General features: G+C 36.4%; 1 annotated feature.

Moving 5' to 3' along the window:
- Positions 15,188–16,908: an enhancer, noted in NCBI's record as "VISTA enhancer hs1452". NCBI's record gives its function as "enhancer in: limb[12/13]" and the evidence as "EXISTENCE:transgenic organism evidence [ECO:0001131][PMID:17130149]".

The following is a 20,023-nucleotide window of genomic DNA, read 5'->3' on the forward strand; positions in this document are numbered from 1 at the left end:
TATGCAGAACGTGCAGGTTTGTTACATAGATATACACGTGCCATGGTGGTTTGCTGCACCCATCAACCCATCATCTACGTTAGGTATTTCTCTTAATGCTATCCCTCCCCCAGCTCCCCACCCCCAACAGACCCCAGTGTGTGTTGTTCCCCTACCTGTGTCCATGTGTTCTCATTGTTCAACTCCCACTTATGAGTGAGAACACGTGGTGTTTAGTTTTCTGTTCCTGTGTTAGTTTGCTGAGAATGATAGTTTCCAGCTTCATCCATGTCCCTGCAAAGGACATGAACTCATCCTTTTTATGGCTGCATAGTATTCCATGGTGTATTTTAACCTATTTGCAAGTTAACAAGTTAGCCTGCCACAATTTCATGGGTGCCAGCAAAAGATGTAAGACTCCAGGGTCAGAATTAAAAGACTTTTTGCCCACAGGACAGCAAGCATAACGAACATCATAAATATTCATTTGTATCCTTTTTTTCTTGATTAGTCCTTCTAAAAGTTTCTCCATTGAATTAGTTCTTTCAAATGACTGGTTTTGGATTATGTTGATCTATGTTTGGGGGTTTTTTAACTTCAGTAGTATTTGTTCTCATCTTTAATGTTCCTTTTAATCATTTTTAATCTTAATTTATTCTGTTTTTTATTTTTCTAGTTTCCAAAATGGAACATGAATCATTTATTTTCACAATTTTTTCTTTTTAATAGTTACCTCAAATACTGCCTTAGTTGCCTCCTACAAGTTTTGATATGTACTACTTTTACTTTTGTACAACTTTTAAATTGTGTTTTCTTCCTTAACCCATAAGTTATTTGGAAATACACTTTAATATTTCCAAATACATGGCAATTTTTCAACTAGCTTTTTTTTAACTGACTTGTGGTCAAAAAAATAGAAAAATATATATTCTCTATTATTGGAGATGATATATAGATATATAGATGGACATATAGAGATACATCTATGCATACAATGTATGCATATAGAGAGTTAGAGATGGAATTAATTTTGCTTTTCGATGTTTCTTATTTCTTGATCTTGTTTTTATATTCTTAATCTATCAGTTTTGTTATGAATGAGGATTTGCTGGTTATTCCTTTTAGTTCTTGCTTTATGTATTTTTGAAAGTGATCTGTTATATATACACTTATTTATTGATTGTTGTGACATCTTGGAAGATAATTTCTTTTTAAAATTATTTTAGAGAGTATCCCTTTATCCTTTTTTAAACTTTAAGTTCTGTCTCATTTGAGGACCCCAACTTTAATTCATATTTGCACATTAGATCTTTTGGCATCCCTAGAATTTCAACCTTTCAGTGTCACTTGGTTTTGGAATTTCTCTTGGATGCAAAGTAAAGCAGAAGGAATTTTGTAACAACTTGATAATACAACTTCTTTTTTTTTTTTTTTTTTTTAGACAGAGTCTTTCTCTGTCACCATGTTGGAGTGCAGTGACTCAATCTCAGCTCACTGCAACCTCCGCCTCCCAGGTTCGACCGTTTCTCCTGCCTCAGCCTCCCGAGTAGCTGGGACTACAGGCACTCGCACCACCATGCCTGGCTAATTTTTTTATTTTTAGTAGAGAAGGGGTTTCACCATGTTGGCAAGGATGGTTTCGATCTCTTTACTTTGTGATCCACCTGCCTCAGCCTCCCAAAGTGCTGGGATTACAGGTGTGAGCCACCGCACTCTAAAAAGTGAGAGTTTAGTCATGTACGTTTATTAAGATTATGGCATTACTGGTATATTTGGACTTATTTCCACCATCTGATTTTGTGCTTTCTTTTTATTTATTTCATGGTCCTTTCCTTACTGTCCTGCCTATTGTTGGATTGATTATTTTTTTACCTTTAGTTTTTCCTTCTGTTAATTTAAAAGCTGTAAATTACATTGCTATTATTTTGGTGATTCCCTCTAGCATATTAAGATTGAAACTTAACCAAAAAGTTTTCTAACACAATCTAGAATTATTTAGTACATCAATTCTATTTATAATTAAAACATTGAGTATAACATATTTTGAACCCTGGAACAACTCCACATCTGGTTATTTTTATATAGAGCTTCACTTATCTTTTAAACAAAGAAAGCATTTTTTGTAATCGATAGTTGATTACATTGGTCAACATATTTTATTAATTTCTGTGTTCACTGTTGTTTCTCATGCTCTACATTTTCCCTCTGCATTCACCTTTTTTCTTGCCAAAGAAAAAATTTTTAGGAATTATGAATGATAAATTTCTCTTGCCTTCTATGCATCTCAAATTCTCTTTACCTTGTCCTCATTCTTGCGTGATTTTTGTGTATAGAACTCTAAGTATACTTATATCTGTCCTCAGCACTTGTAAGATATTATTGCATTTTCTCTGGCATCAATTGTCCAGAGCAAAAGGCTGCTGTTTGTCTAATTGTTGTTAACTTTTAGATGATTTGTATATTTTCTCTGATAGCTTTGAAGAGTGTCCTTTATTCTTAATAACGTAGTTCCTTATAATATGTCTAAAAGTGAATTTATTTTTATTTATATAGTTTCATACTCAAGAGTATTCTTCTAATATGTGAATGATAATCTTAAATTCTAGAAATGGTATTAACAGTTATCTCTCATTTATCGATTCTCTAATATCCCCTCCCTCTCAGAAGCTCATATTCAACGAATATGGGAGCAACTCAACTCATCTTTCATGTTTCTTAATTCCTCTCCCATATATTTTATTTGTGCTGAATAGTGGATATCCTTCAGTCCTCTTCAAGTTTACTATTCTTTTTGACTATGTTCATTCTAGAGTATGTCCCATACATTGCATTTTTGTTTCATTGACTAAATTTTTATTTCCATCATATTTGGTTGGATCATTTTTATTTACCAGTACATTATTTTATTCCTCTCTGGTTTCATCTCACACTTTCTATTTTTTAAACAATTATTTCAAATTCTTTCTCAGACTTCTCTCAAATTAACTAATCAGAATGAGTTCATGTTCTGATTGTTTGGTTTATGTTCATCTTTATTTTGGCTTTCTTCCTTAGCATCAGATTTTTTAAATGAGTTTTATAGTTTTTGTGCACAGGCTAATTTTTATGCAAGATTTTTAAAATTTTATTTCCCCTTCTTCCTTCCACACCTATTTCTGTATATCTAGTGAATCGCCTCCACCCAGCCAACACAGAATCAGTTCATCTAATGATAGTGACTGCCACATGTGACATTCATACATAGTACACTTCTTTCAGAACCCCTTTTGTGTTCTAGATTAGGTGCCACTTCAGTGCTCTTCTGAAGATATTATAATATAATTGCTTTTTATTATTGATTTCTCCCTCAGCAAGACTGTCTCTGCCATGAGGGCCAGGACCTGAGCTATCTGGTTCACACTGTTAAACAACCCAGCACCAAGAGCAATGAGTGGAATAAAGTACACTCATTAAATAGTTGCTGACTGAAATAATCAAATGTTTTCGTCACTGGGTAATGTGTCTCATGGTATTGCCATTGTACCATTTTCTCAGGATCCATGTGGTTAGTGTTGGAACTCAAAAGGTGATGACTTTCCTAGGTGGTTGCTCACTTCTGAATAGTGATTTAGTAAGCACTTCACTTCTAGTTCAATCATTACTTCTTTCTCTCTGAGTTACTTTCACAATGGGTGGATCTGAAGGGCTAGCAGCTGCGAAGCCTGGCAGGATAAAGGGGATGATATCTTGCACTCTGCATTTTGTTTCACTGGTGTAATTACTATGATGATTGTAGATTAAGCCTAATCCTAGTTATTATAGTTTTCTCTTTGAATCCCAAAGATAAGAGGTTTCATCCTACACAAAGATCTTTTTCATTTATTTCTGGACAGAAACCAACTAAAATTAGGTCCAAGTCATTCCTGAGCTGTCAATGTGGAAGTGCCTTCTGCATACTCACTTCCCGTCAATACTCCCTGACAACCCTTGAATCATTTAAACCTCACAAGTGGCTGTTGGGAAGCATGTCATTTCAATGTACCTCTATAGCTTACTGAAGATCATATTGAATGATTTGTGAAAACGTGGAACAATGTCTCTTGATGTTTGCAAAGTATTACAATTTTATTTACATATTTATTCTGTTATTTTCAAGACCTCCAGTAATTACTAGTATAAGAAATAAAACATATACATGTTCTCTTTTCACCAATAAGAAAGTTGGTTTGGTTTGGTTTGGTTTTCTGTCAGGTTTAACAGTAATTTTTATCCTAATATGTATACTAAGATTGCTTTTAAAAACAGCTTGAATTTTTTTTTTCAAGACACGTCTTGTGCTGTCACTCAGGCAGGAGTGCAATAGCACAATCACACCTTGCTGCAGCCTTCGCTTCCCAGCCTCAAGCTATGCTCCCACCTCTGCCTCCATAGTACCTGGGACTGCAGATGGGTAGCTGACTTTTACCACGCCCAGCTGACTTTTTTACTTTTTGTAAAGACCAGGTGTCCCTATGTTGCCCAGGCTTATCTCAAACTCCTGGCCTCAAGCAATCCTCCCACCTTGGCCTCCCAAAGTGCTAGGACTATAGGCATAAGCTACCACACCCAACCCAAGAACTTGATTTTTATCCAACATGCTTGCTTAATGAAGACAATAGCCATCAGTTAAATTTTTAAAAACCTTTAGAACAGACATATAAACACTGCCTACTAATGAGTCATAAAATCTACATGCTTCTAAGATCATACTGAAAAAAACTCCCCTATTTCTGCTTTTGTTTATGCAGTAAGGAAAATATAGATTTTTTTGTCTCTGTGGTATTTGATTATTTTCCTAAATGTATATTTCTGGTCTTTTAATTATGCATAGAAAGATCACAGCAATGGTTTCTTCCAAATATTATAGCCATCCTTACAGAACTTTCTCCACTGCATGTAGAGACCAGCTTAGCATATAATTTATGTTTTCAAACTTTAATTTGCCTGAAGCCTTTAATTTTCCACAAGCCTGTGTGTGTGTGTGTGTGTGTGTGTGTGTGTGTGTGTGTGTGTCCATCCCATGGTTCCAAGTTATAGCTGAATTTTTTTTTACCAATTTTACCTATTTTTGTAATAAATCCAGTCACAGTCCTCACTGAGTTATAGACTAGATTGATGGGAGAAAACTGTAATCAGGGAAAGAAGGTAAATACACGTTAACTTCACTCAAAAGCCACTCCTTTAAGCAGTTGTACACAGCAGGTCATTAAAGTTCACATATTCAGTATAATCACATTTTTAAAAGTATACTGACACTATGAATAGTGTTCACTGCAACCAGGGATCATGAAACATTCAAATTTCTTGAAACCTGTAAATTTAGATTGAGAGACTATTAGAAATAAAGTATATTTAAGTTAAGCATATTATCAATTAAATTATATTTAATGCTAAAATTTTGAAGGAAAAGAAAAAAGTAATAGTCATATATGAAAAAAAAATCAATTCATATGCCATATTATCCAACCACCCGGGTAACAACAGACTGGCTACAAATTATATGAGGAATTTAAATATAAATTCTTAGATTTCTAAGTGTGATTTTGTGATGACAAGCACATCATTATAACTTAAAGCAATTCATTTCTACACAATTTACTGAACGTCTACTATGTCTATTCTTGCCTCAGGGAACTCACAGACTGCTAGGAAATAAAGACACATTCCAACCAGTTGCAATTCAGTAATGTTATTATAAGAGTCATATTAATGGTAGATACATTTTTATAAATAACACCTCAATTCTGCACTTTCATAAAATATCCATGTGTCTGTAATTTATAACTACACATTAGTAATCTTTCATATTAATAAATAAAAACTCCATTCTAATTAGGCACTAATATAAAACAGTCACTCACTTCCCATCTGTTATCCCATTTGCTGATACATACAAGAGGAGTATCAGTAATTAACTGTTGAGTGCCACAAGCTGGAATATTCTGTTTTGCAAAATAAGTGATATGAATGTTTATTTTAAAAAATTTTGTGAGCAGAAATGACCAGGTTATGAACCATCTTTTTTCCATATTAACATAACAAAAAGTAAGTGGCTTTTGAGTTCAAAAGTGATGAATTACTGAGAATCTTCTAATATTGGGATCCTTCCATCTCAAGCATGTTTCCTAAATTACTTTTCCTATATTTCAAAAATTGAAATAATGAACCAACACCTACTCCAAAAAAGTTCATATAAAATAGTAACAGTTGGGCATGGTGGCTCACACAGGAAATCTCAGCACTTTGGGAGGCCAAGGTGGGAGGATCACTCGAGCTTAGGCAACATAGTGAGGCCCTGTATCTACAAAAAAAAAAAAAAAATAGCTGGGTGTGGTGGTGCATGCCAGTAGTCCTAGCTGAGGCTGAGGTGGGAGGATCCCTTGAGCCCAGGAGTTTAAGATTATAATGAGCTATGATTGCACCATTGCACTCTAGCCTGGGTAACAGAGCAAGGCTCTGTCTCTTAAATATAAAAATAAAATAATTTTTAAAAGGACAGTAACATTACTGACCTCCACTATTCTGCTTTGCAGGCAGCATTAGCTAACAACCTTGTAAGTAGAATGAGTGTTATAGTATGGTCTTTCCTCACAACAAAATACCAGAAAATGGGAGAGAAGAATGGAATGGGCAGCAGCATCCTGTGTCCAGATGCCCACACAAGAAAAAGGCTGAGCTGAGCTTCCTTGTCTTTGCCATCTCAGTAACAGAGGTCATGGCAACTGACCTGTCCACCTCATAAGAGAATCTCCTTGCGGACTCTCCTAGCTCATGGCCTGATTTCCTTTGTGCTTGACACAAGCAACCTTCATCTTGTTTTTGAAGGTTAAAAGAGTCCCACCCTTAATATAATGCAACCATCATATGTACAATCTCAAATGTTCCCCAAAGAAGATAGCAACTTAATGTCAAGTTTAGCAACTATCAGTTGGCAAGGTATCTTCAGAAGCTGACTGCCAGTCTTAAAAACCTCAGTCTCCAGGTGATATCTATTTCTTCGCTAAGTTTCTTATGAAATCATCCACACCTGCTTTTTGTCATGCTATAACCTTTAGACAGTCACCTAACCACTATCACCACGCTGAAAATACAATTGTGAAAGAATATTAATGAGCTGGCCACAGCAACATCTATTAGAAAATATTTATTTAAGATTCTGGTACTTGTTTGTTTATTTTTACAAAAAGCAGGAAGTATTATTTCTCCTTGGTAAGATTAATAAACCAGCCAAAAACACAGTCCTCATTTTTATATATTCCCATAGTGGCATAAGGAGCCCCCAGATATGCAGGTGGTAGCCTCGGGTTCAAGTTTAGTGGAATCCTTATGAAATTCTGGTGAAACTTATTGTGCACCATGAACTGGGTGGCCCAGGAGGCCCAGAAGGAAAATATTCCCCATCCTCTGGTCTAGATTCATATAACTCATCAGATTTATAATTAATTGTCCATTTATAAACAAGTCTTGCCAATGACAGCTCTTCACTCTCTCCCAAAGCCATCCATAGTGGACCTAACTACTTGTTAGACCAAGTAGTTACCACTCTACATGGTAATTTTCTGTTGAATTATATACTAGTCAACTGAAAGCTCCTTGAAGGCATGGGTGTGTCTCATTTACGTTTGAATTTTCACTGCTGGTCACTGTTTTTAATATATATATATATAAATTTTATATATTGTATATATTGACTACCATATATATGGTAGTCTATATATATAAATTTTATATATTGTATATATTGACTACCATATATATGGTAGTCAAGAAACTGACAAATATAGGAATGAATGAATCATGTTTTGCATGATTTGTTATTTTTACATAGATTATTACATTTGATAAGAAAGTCTCAGAAAGGAAAACTATCTTGCACAAGATTATACTATTTGTAAATCAAGGATCTAAGTTTCAAATCCATGTCTCTAGACTGGATTTGACGGTCTGGCTATAAATGCAGTGCTCATAATCTTAATATTCAAGGATGCCTTAGAACCTCACTGGCACAGGAATTGTATCACCTCATGGTACAAATTGCCTGCAACTCCCTCTGTGCTCTATGAAGTACTTGGTGATTAACCTCTAACTACCTCAATTATTCTGAATTTCCTCTTCACTCATGCCTAGTCACACTATGTTTGTTCTGTCTGTAGGTGGCTAATTCACATAGTTACAGCACAGGGCCAAGGAGACCAGGATTATAAAGTTAGGATATGTCTACAAAGCTAGGTTGGATTAATCTGTCCAACACTGTACACACATTCTTCACTCATTCCTACTTCCTGGCAAACAAAGTATCCCCAGCCAACAGAGACTAGTTGAGATAATGTGAATTGATCCTTGCAAATGCAGAAACTTGTTCATTAAACCCTACAGTCTAAAGCAAATAAGAAAATGAAGCAATTCCAGAAGCCAGTTTTCCTGCATTTCCAGGAAGTGGCTTACTAAGGCAAAAAAGAGAGAAAGAATTTCCTTCAAATTTTGAAAATATTAACTTGTAGAACTTCTAACATCTGTTTACTACTGTTGCAAAGATAATTAATACCATCATGCTTTTAAGTCCTCAACATCACCTATCAACATAATTTTTGCCTCTGCTTAAGTTTTCTATAAACTAGTAGGAATCTGCACACCATATTTACTGTGACTGATTGAAAGAAATTATAGAACATTTTTTAAAATAAGGGAAATAGTAATAATAGCCCCTATTTATAGGCATCTACTCAGTACCAGAACTGTGGTAGGAACATGTACTAACTCATTTACAAACTCAACGGCCACATAAAGTATTAATTATCTGCTTTTGTAGATGGTACAACTATTGTGCCCAGAGGTTATAGGGCCTTTCCAATATCCCAAGTCTTCTAAATAAAAGAACTGAGATGTTGAACAAATGTATCTAATTCCAAAGATCATGCCTTACACCACTGCATGGCTTCAGCACATAGTAAGTGCTCAATAAATATTTTTGCATAAATGAATCAGTTGTGGCTGAATCTTTTTTTTACCTTAAGATGTTGAAGCTACACATAAAAATGAAGCTTTCAGACACTGCACCAGATTTGACTGTCTAAAATACTTTGTTAAGGAATGTACGCTAGGATTTAATCACATTACTCTCACCTCAGTGGCCAGCGCAACCCTGAATGTTTAATTATGCTACTAGTTTTATACCTAATCAATCTTTTTCATTAAAATCCAGTGAAGCAGACAACTGGGATAATTACTGCAGAATCATCTTAATTAAAAATTTTAGCTTCTAATTAAGAGTCATTGTTTATCTCATCAGGAAACAGTTAGAATTCATGACAGGGTTGCCCTGTTTATTAAATTTTTAGCCTTTTTGAGGTTGGACATAGTACATGATACTCCTACTTATGTAAGCATTTGTGTTTATACCCACACATATGTTTGAGTACATTTAGGAATGTTTTAATTGCATCAGAGGAAAAATAGCAATACAAAGCATGAAGCCTAATGGAAACTCTATCACTGAAATCCTTGATCCAGTATTTACGTCTCAACTAATTACAAAATGTTCAAAAGTGAATTACTTATACCTCAATTACTAGTTGAAGGCATAATTATATTCACAACTGAACAAAAACTGCCTTAAAACTTTTTCTCACAAGTTATGAATTTTTAAAAAGCCTGATGAATATTCACCCAAATCTCTGCAGCATAAAGAAATAATTATTATTTCCCTAGACTCCCATTTCTGGGAAATTCCTTTTCACCATGAGGATCACACATATAGGTCTTTGGAAGGAAGTCACAGTCTCCTTGGAGTACAGGAAACTATCCATTCATTAGTAAATACACCCATGATGCTTTGTCCCGTGGGAAACTCAGCTTGATTACTCTCTGCAGTTGCACTGCAACCCTCCACATGTACAAGTGCTGTTGTGTAATTCATAACAAACACTAGCAAATGCTTTAAGTCATTACCCTTTGCCTTAACAGTGAGACACTGTTCTTTAACTCTCACAATCATAATTTGTGAATCTACTGCTCTATTCAACATGATTACAGACCCAAAGAAGCACAAAAGGTAGCCATAGAGGGTGTGAGACAGAAGAGCAGATCAATTCCTTAAGAAAAACCAAGATCCAAGTAACATATTTGATTGGCTGTTCCTGAGTATCTATGTTAGGAAACCTGGCAGAAGGGCAGGAATGGGGGTGGGAAGGGGGATGGGGACTGAGAATACTGGAAGGATAAAATTAATCATCGGAATTGGTTAAAGCATAATTTAAATGTTATGAATAAAGCTTCAGTAAAATGTTCCTATGTAGAAATATTTGGAAGCCAAATGACTTTCATAAGCTATGACAGTGATCAGCATGGCCTCCAATGACATCAAAGTTGACACAAGGAGTTCAGATATTTTAGGCTTAGATAGAAGCTTCAAATTCATTCTTTTTCACTTAAAATTCACATTTTTTAAATTTGCTTAAAATGCATTCACTTTTTCCACACTAACAGTAAGCAGACATAAAAGGTAGGGGAGAAACGTAGAGGCAGCAAATAAAGTTCAATTTATCATCTACAACAGAGGTTTTCCAACTGTCCATTGAAGAGAGGAAATGCAGAAATTTGGGGAAGTGACAACCTTCCCCCAACCTCAACAACATGCTTTCCTTCTCTCCCTACAATTTCCATTGCCCTCCCACCCAAAGACAGTGGAAAGTAGAGCTTTTAAAAATATTCGCTTTAAACTAACTACTGGAAAATGGACATAAGGATAATCTTTAAGCGTTCAGCATCTTCCTAAAGGACTTTTAAAATCATTTTAACTTGAAAAGGGGATGGAAAGGTGGGGGTAGGATAAAAATTAAATCTTTCCTTGAAGCAGTCTTGATAGTAGTATCTTCTCTCAGTATAGGGGGAAAAAAAGATAATGGTAGAAAAGAGTTATAGTCTAGGGTATTTTCCCCCTTAAAATTACTAAACACAACTGATTATATTATACCAAGCTGCCTTTCTATGAAGCATAAAAGATATAAACAGAGCACAGGCTTAAATATGGATACTACCCAGACTTCCAAATGAGCACCAGCATTCAAAGGGGTTTTCTTCTGGGAACAATTTGTACCTAGTTCCAGATGTTTTCCCTTCTAGAAAATAGCAAACTCTGCTTAGCATCCATTTCACTGGTGTAAGCAATAGGTACTTTAAATCCTGTCTGCTGCACCGCGGCCCACTGTTATTACAGCCAATGCCTCACCTACACCTGTACTGTATATATTGATGCTGAAAGAACCCATTCAGATAAATTACCGACTGGCAGAAGATGAGCTGATAAGAAGAGCATCGTTATTTTGCAAAATGGTCAATGCAGGGTGCTATAAAATAAAAATATAACCAAGGGATCATTCAAAGACATAGCAAATCTTATGGTGGAGGAGCAGGTGAATAACATGCCTCTGGAGGCGGTGAACTCTTCTTTCCCTGCACTGTCTGTGACATGTATGACAATGTCATGCTGCTGGAAGTGTCCAGCAACCAGGGCTAACCGGCCTATAAATTGCTGGGCAGCAGAATACCAAAGGCCTGATATATGGATTATTAAAATAAAAGAGCACAAGGGGCATAAATTCTCAGATAGATTTTGAGGCTTCTGTTCCTAATTCAGCTACTATGGAAGAATAATAATAACTATCATTACAGCCACCATTTCTTAAGTACTTACTATGTTCCAAGCCCTGGGCTTACATATATTCCCTTACTTGACCCATAAGGAACACTCCTATATGGAAGAAATTATGATTCCCATTTTATGAACATGGAAACTGAGCCTCAGAGCAGAAAAATAACTTGCCCACGCTAGTGCATGGCCAAAATCATGCATTAAAATTAGTACTACTTGATTCCAAAACATATGCTCTTAACCCCTTGCTCCAGAGTCTCATATTCAAAATAATTGGAAGGTAAAAATTTTAAGTCTCTTAGAAGGCAAAGAAATGCAGTCACCAATACAATTTTTAAAAAAACTTTTCCAAAATCCAATGATAGAACTAAATCTCACTAATTTAAACTAAAATGCAAAGCAAAATAATGTGGTTTGTGAATTTTACATTATACTTTTAGCATCATTAATGTTGGCAAGCACAAATTGACTAGCTACCTTTCAGAGAAGACCTCCAAACAAATGCAGATTTTGTATATAAATCATAAAGCATACCTAATGGAAACACAAAGTAAGTTATTAAATTTTCTCTCTGTTTATAGATCTTATGTATTATCTAGATGATATATTTAAAAGGAGGTAGTGATCTTTAGCCAATATGGTGTAAGTCTTACATTCATAAAGTGGTAATACTATCCTAGAGAACTAGGCAATTTGTAACAATTATTTAAGTTTTTTTAAATTTATCAGACATATAGCTGGATAGCTCGATGGATGGAAGGAAGATGATAGCTAATAGAAGGATAGTCAGGTAGGTAGGCAGGTAGGTCAATAGATAGATAGATACATAGCTAGATAGATACATAGATCTAGAGATATAATATTTGAAAGGAATTTTTATTTACAAGCAAACATCAGTATTTTAGATCCTTAACAGTTACCTATTGCTAATTCCCCAACACAAAATTTTGTTCCTAAATTGTGTGGCAAGACAGGGCAAAGCCAACTGTATTTAGCTCAATAGTTTCCAATTGGTGCTATAACAAATTACTGCATTAAAATGACACAAATTTATTATCTTACAGTTCTGGAGACTGGAAGTCTGAAATTAGTTTTATAATCTAAAATCAAGGTGTTCGAAGAGCTTCCCTCCTTCTGGAAGCTCTAGCCTTTTCCAGCCTAGAGAAACTGCCTGCATTCCTTGTTTTGTGGTTTTTTCTCCCATCTTCAAAGCACATCACTTTAACCTCTGCTTCCATCACATTTCCTTCTCTGGCTCTGATCCTCTTGCCTTTCTTTAAGAAACCTTATTATTACACTGGTGATCCAGGATAATCTTCCTATCTCAAGATCCTTAACTGAATCACATCTGCAAAGCCCCTTTTGCCATGTAAAATAATATATTCAAAGCCAGGTGCGGTGGCTCACACCTGTAATCCTAGCACTTTGAGAGGCTGAGGTGGGAGGATCACTTGAGCTCAGGAGTTCGAGGCTAGCCTTGACAACATGGCAAAACATCATCTCTACAAAAAATACAGGGAAGAAAAAAAAAAAACAGTTAGCCAGGCATTGTGGTGTGCATCTGCAGGCCCAGCTATTTGGTGGGCTGAGGCAGTTGGATCACTTCAGCCCAAGAGGTCAAGGCAGCAGTGAGCCAAGATCATGCCACTGCACTCCAGCCTGGGTGACAAAGTGAGACCCTGTCTCAAAACCAACACAAAAATTCAGGAGTTCTGGGGATTAGGACATTAATATTTTGGGGGGGACCATTATTCTCTCTACCACTATCTTTCTATAAGTGGATCCCCATAGCTTGCTGGGGGAAGGATCTTCTTTTTCTAAGGTGGTAACTTATTACTAATCATAAAGATAGCCAAAGGAATCTAGATCTCAGGGAGCATTCCTAGAATGTCTCTTATATATTCACTGCATTTGGTGATCTCATCCAGTTTCATAGTCTTAAATACCATGTATATGGCAAGGATTCCAAAAATACCTCTCCAGATCAAACTCATCTATCCAGACGCCTACTGAATACACCCACTTGGATATCTAATAGGCAAGTCTGACTCAACATGTCTAAAATTGAGCTCCTGATTGCCCCTCTCCCAAGCCTACTTCTCTCAGTCTTCCCCACATCCCTTAATAGAAACACTATCTCTACAATTGTTCAGGCCAAAAACCTTGGAATTATCCTTGACTCCTTTCTTACTTTCATATCCTTCATCCAATCCATCAGCAAATCCTGTCAGCCCTCCATTTAAAACGTATCCAGAATCCTGTATCTCCTCATTTCCACCACACCACCACACTGGTCCAAGCCACTATCACTTCTTTTCTGGAGTTTTGCAGTAGCCTATGAACTGGTCATCTTCCTTTCACTCTTTCCCCCTATGGTAGCAGCCAGCCTGGTCTTATAAAACATGATGCTGTGGGGCCTCACCCAGATTCCTCCTTTCAGGACTGAGGCACTCGCTACCCCAGCAGCCAAAAACATTGGCTGCCAATGGCTTACATTTGAATCCCCTTCTGGGAATTGTCCTCATTCAAAGGGAGCTGCCTTCTGAAGTTTATGCCCTTTTCTAAAGTGTAAACAATGACTGGTCAATGTGATGATACAAAAGCTCCATCCCTTTGCCTCGATTTGGGACAACTCTGGAGGACCCTGCCACTTCCAGGATTCCCTGTGGATCAGTGGAAGCCTCTGTTGCAGCAGCATTCCATTTCAGCTTCTCCCTGCTCTCTCCATCCTGTGCTCTCACCCCCTCAGAGGTGTTGCTCCTGAGAACATTCCCAAAATAAATCCACTGCCTGCAACAATACATCTCAGAGTCTGTTTCTAGGAGAACTCAACTGAAGACACTGAAATAAAATCATGTTATTCCTCTGGTCAAAACTCTCCAATGACTCTCCATTTCAAATAAAAGCTCATGTCCTCACAGTGTCCTAAAGGTCCTAAAGTGAAGCCACCCCTTTTGTCTCATCTCTTGCACTCTTGCCCCAACCTCAATGGACACTTCTTCCCTTAGCTGCTCCCTCTTTCTTGAATGCTCTTCCCCGACATATCCACACAATTTACTCACCTCTCAGTCTTGGCTCAAATGCTGTTTTCCCAAAGAAGCCTTTCCTGACCCTCCTATGGCATTAGAACTGCCATACCCCATAATCTACGTTGTTTTTCTGCATACCACTTACTGTCTAATACACAATATAGTACACTTATTTACTATGTTTATTATCTTTCTCATCTCACTATGAGAATTTTCTTTTTGTCTCTTTTATCCTCCCTACTTAGAGGAGTGCCTGGAACATGGTCTTCAAAATACTTGATAAATGAATGAATGAATGAGTGCTGACTGTGTGTCAGGAACCTCCCTGGGAACATTTGTGTATAATATCTCATATAACAGTCACAACAACTCCAGGAGAGGAATATTATAATATCCATTTTCCGACTGAGAAAACAGAGACTCAGATAATCACATGAGATTATCACATAGGTAAGGAGGGATAGAGCCCGGGTGTGAACCCCTGTTGGTCCAACTCAAAGCCATATTCTCACAGAGACTCCCCTATTTCAGCTAAACTACTCTCTTTCCAAACAAATCTAATCTAAACTAGGAAAACAAGTCTAAACAAGGGGTGAAGATTGAGTGGCACAGAAATCATGATCTTCATCATTTTATGAAATGTACATGTGTTCACTATTACTGTAGATGCTCTACAAGACGAGTTTACAAGTTCTAGCTTTGTAGTAACTAAGGATCTATCTGCCCAAAAGGAACATATTAACATGTAGGTAACTACTTGCACACACAGAGACCTTACCAAAAGCTAATTGCATTGTCAGTAGTATTTGGACCAGTAGGGGGGCGGGCAAGGGGTGTACGTGTTGATAGAAAACAAAAGTCTGGGTTTTATATCTGAGTTAATGGAAGAAAATAATTCACTGTCTTCCACTTAGCAAAAGAAAGCTTTGTAACGGAAGTGGGATTATAAGAGCTTTCTGAACTCCACAGAGGAGGAAATTTGGCAAGTTGACACTATGGTCTTATTCAGTGCTCAACACCCACTAACTTCAGAGAGAGCTTCTAGCCTGGATCAGCCAGGCAGGATGCAATGCAAATGGGAAATGAACCTGACCCCACCACAAAAGCCTTTAGCTTCACACACATGTGAGGCTGATGGAATTCACTGCCATAAAAGGAAGGTGAGAACACTCTAAATTGGCTTTTACCTTCTAAGGATGTTCACACACAAAGCATGCATTGTAGCCACTAATGAAAGACATGTGTTAGAGTAGTTACACATTGCAACTCATAGAAAACTAATGACATGAAACAGCCACGGTGCCTCTATGCTGACCCCTGTAACACCTCAAGACCAACTTGTAACAAGCAGAGCTAAGCCAATTTATCACTGAATTATGCGTCATTTAATAAAGACGGGTGTGACTCAACCTGCCATGCGGGAATGCTAAAAGCTTAAGGAAATGGCCACCAAAACTCCCCCTTTTCCTTTTCCAAAGCTCATCTTTAACCCTTCAGTAAATGATGGACTGATTGAAGCAAAAGTCTAAACTTTATAAACTATCACTAAAAAAATCTTAGGGTAGTCTGACCAGGGTTCTTGGGGTTATTTACTTGAAAATTACTACTCTTGCAGGATTAACTCCTGTTTCTATAGCTCAATGGAGTGTGAATGAAGTGAAAATGGAGGGGTTCTCTTTTTTGAACCACCATCAGCATCCTGAAATTGTAGTTCAAAGTATGCTTTCAGAAGCCAAAAGCCAAGTGATGATTTTACCAGTGTCATTTACAGTCGTCATCAAAACATATTTTAATTTAAATAAAAATTAATCCTAGGGGCTTTTAGGTTCTACCAATAGTTTTACATTTCCGAGGGGAAAAAAATCCTTATAATTTCATCATTGTCATAGAAACAGAAAAATCAACACATTACAGAAAAACGTTTCATGAGGGCTGAGAATAAGGACATCCATATCGAGTTACACACTTAGAGATAATTGATTTAGCAAAAATTCAGCTGGAATCATATAAATTATAGCAATTTCCACCATTGGTCCTATAGAAAAGCTTTTTAGTAATAACCAGAGGACATAGTTAGATATTCTCTAGAAAGTAAAGAAACTTCTCAAAATCTTTCCTTATTTTATTTCCCTTCTCGGGATTATATTCTTTTTATGATAACAAATTTGTACCACTGTAGAAGCATTTTAGTCCCTTGAAATTTTATAAAACTTTTTTTCTTGATGGTGCACCAAGAATCATGTTTCTCTTTAAATGAACAAAAAAAGTAGATGAAGTCAAAATGCATTTTATTATTAAGTTCAGCAACCATAGATTATGTTGAAGACTGAAGCACTTGCAATGCTCCTTCATCTGGGAAGACATTCTATTAAAAATTTGCCCATTATGCTTTTGTATTTCATTCCTTCTTTTCCTTCCACCAAGGTAATGAAAGCATCAAGAGTCCCTGAAATATTGTATAAAGAAAAATCGAAAAGAACATTTACAGCCCAGAAAACTGCTACTAATCATTAGGGGCTTGTCGCCATCTTTTTATTAACCTTTATTTTTCTTGAACTATTTTATTATTTAAGAAGATTCAGACCATGAAAAACATCTGACAAAAGAGACAGACACTGTTCTAAGCACTTCAAGTGTATTAACTCAATTTGTACTCACAACAGTTTTGTGATAAAGGTCCTGTTATTATCCCCATTTGAGAGCTGAAGAAACCAAGGCACAGAGCTATGTAGTAATTTACCCAAGGCCAATAGCTCTAAGTGGTGGAGGCCAGATTCAAATCAGGGCCGTCATACTCCAGAACCCATGCACTTACCCATGCCGAACTGTTTCAAGAAAGGCAGTGAGGAAAACCTGAAGCTTTCATTTTAATAATAAACCAAAAAGAAATTCTTCAGTCTCTGTGCACTTGATTAAGCTCCCAAAAGGTGAGATTACACATTTCAGTGTATTTCTCTCAAGTGATATAATGTCGGTCCTAAATTCATTTCAGAATTTTGTACAAAATGTGAAGTATTCTTTTTCTAGGGTAAAGGTGGTTTATTTCCATTAAGAAGAAAAAATAATAATAATGAGAAGAGTCAGGATAAGAAATGCAATATTTCTGCTTCATTATTTTCAAGGCTGACTATCATGTTTCAAAATTACCACATCAGAGAGTCTCAAATACAGTTGGTTTTGACTATCTTCATCCCAACCATATTTGGGAGGTAAGCAAGATACAAATTAGAAGGCAGCAAGAAAAAAACAGGGCACATTGTTTTACAAAACTGGAGTGAATGTTAAGCTAATCATTCTAAAATTCTAATATCTACCTTTTTATATTTTAAAAAAAGCAGCAAAAAAGTAAAAGAAAACAGGGAAAAAAATCTGGCAACTGTAAGGGTCCTTTCTCTTCACTCTGCTTTAGTCCATATGATTCATCCCAATTGTTTCCTTTCCATTTCTGGATGTTTGACCGCAAGGCAGCTTTAGTTTTCATTTGTCATTATTTGAAATAATTTTACACATCTTTTAAGCATTTTGATTGCTTAAATAGAAAATTTGAAATCAATATCTCCAGAGACACTTGAGAAATCCAAAGGGGAAAAAAAGTCTAAAACTGATTTCTAAAAATGAGTTTTTATAGAAAATTCCAGAGTACAATAACTAAGTAGAGTCTACCAAACAAGTAGAGAGTTGATTATCAACTGTAGCAAATATTACTTCCTTTGCATATTTTGCCCTCTATTACTGCAATGAATAAAAACAATTATGTGCACATACATACACACACACACACACACACACACACACACACACGTTTCCCTTTAGAAAGAATTTGCCTTTGGAAAAAATGGGCAAGAAGCCTATTGAAGGCCTTGGGTCATGGGGCAAGTCCTCTATACTCAAGTTTGTTTTCTGCAGATAACCCAGAAGTGATATCAGAGAGAACACTCTCTCTCCAAGGTGCTGGGGGCCTGCAGCAGTCTGTTCTTTATTTTCCTTCCTCAGATAAAATATGGTACACCACACTTTGCCGGAGATGGATTAGTGTTGACTGGTTTATATTGTCTGGCAGAGTTAGAGGGAAATTTGAAAGTTAATGCACAATTTAATTCTCCAGAGGACTTCTGAATCGTCTGGAGAATTCTGGTAGTATAAACATGACAGCCTTTGAATACAACTGTGATAAAAGTAATTTCAAATAACATTAGGGGTGGCTTAGAGCTATTTCTTATTACCCAGATCACTTTAAAACAAATCTTGACAATGATCAGCAATGATACATTATGAGTGGCATGTCAACAGAGGCCCAAATGTGAGACATCAACCGTGAGCTAATGTTCCTCTGATAGCTGTGATTTAAAGATACTCCATTATGGCCTCCAACTGCCCATAAAGACCCATTTTCCAAAATATTATTATTATTTAATTATATTTGTGGTAGTAGGCTCCAGGTTTTTATATATGCTCTGAAGCTATCACTAAAATATTTCAGATAAGGTAAAAGCATGTACCTGTGTAAACGCTAATAATAATAATACCTTGGCAGAGTACAGCAGCAAGTTAAAAAAAAATAGATAAAGCCGAACTGTGTGGGGGGGCTCTGGTAATTGGAAGAGTCAATGGCTATATGATTCAAGAAAATAGTCTCCCTCGAGAAGGAGACTGATTGTCCTGCATTTATACAGCAGCTAACCAACACTAAGCAGACTTTCCTTTGCATATTATTGGTGCCAGGCCGATGAGGCAGAAAATTGCATCGTGTCATTTAATTTCCCAATCTTTGTTTTCATTGTATTAATCTTTTGGCTTTGTTTCACTTTATAATTTGAAGGCTCAGCAAGAAGCAAACCAAATGGAAATTCAGCTTACTTTCATGTCTAGCTGAATGTGTTTGGTGCAGTTTCCAAAAGTTTAATTCTACGTAATACTGTCCATGAATAATAATAGGCTGCTTCTGCATGCAGACTTATTAGTGTTTATTAAGGGTTGCCTTAAAGTTTCTGGGAAATGTGCCCAAAAGTCAGTCACCAAAACGTGATTAACAAATTGGTTACAGAAGGAGAACAGATAATTTTTTAAAACAGAAGTATATCATCCTGTTGAGAAATAAGAACTAAAACCCTCAAAAACTGATTTAACCTAAGTGAGCTTCTTTCTCCCTACCCTCCTTTCCGTTTTCCTTTCTTTTTGTGAAAAAGAAATAAACTTGAAAAAATGCAGAGAACTGAGATTTCAGTGAACTACACAAGAAGCTAGTATTTTGAAATACAAATTAAAAAGGCATCCACAATTTCGGGGGATGAAGGGTGACAGTGCAATGCAGAGCTTCAAACTGTTTGGATTTTGCAATCAAATTGAT

The sequence above is a fragment of the Homo sapiens genome, chromosome 6, assembly GCF_000001405.40.
Source record: "Homo sapiens chromosome 6, GRCh38.p14 Primary Assembly".
Taxonomy (NCBI): domain Eukaryota; kingdom Metazoa; phylum Chordata; class Mammalia; order Primates; family Hominidae; genus Homo; species Homo sapiens.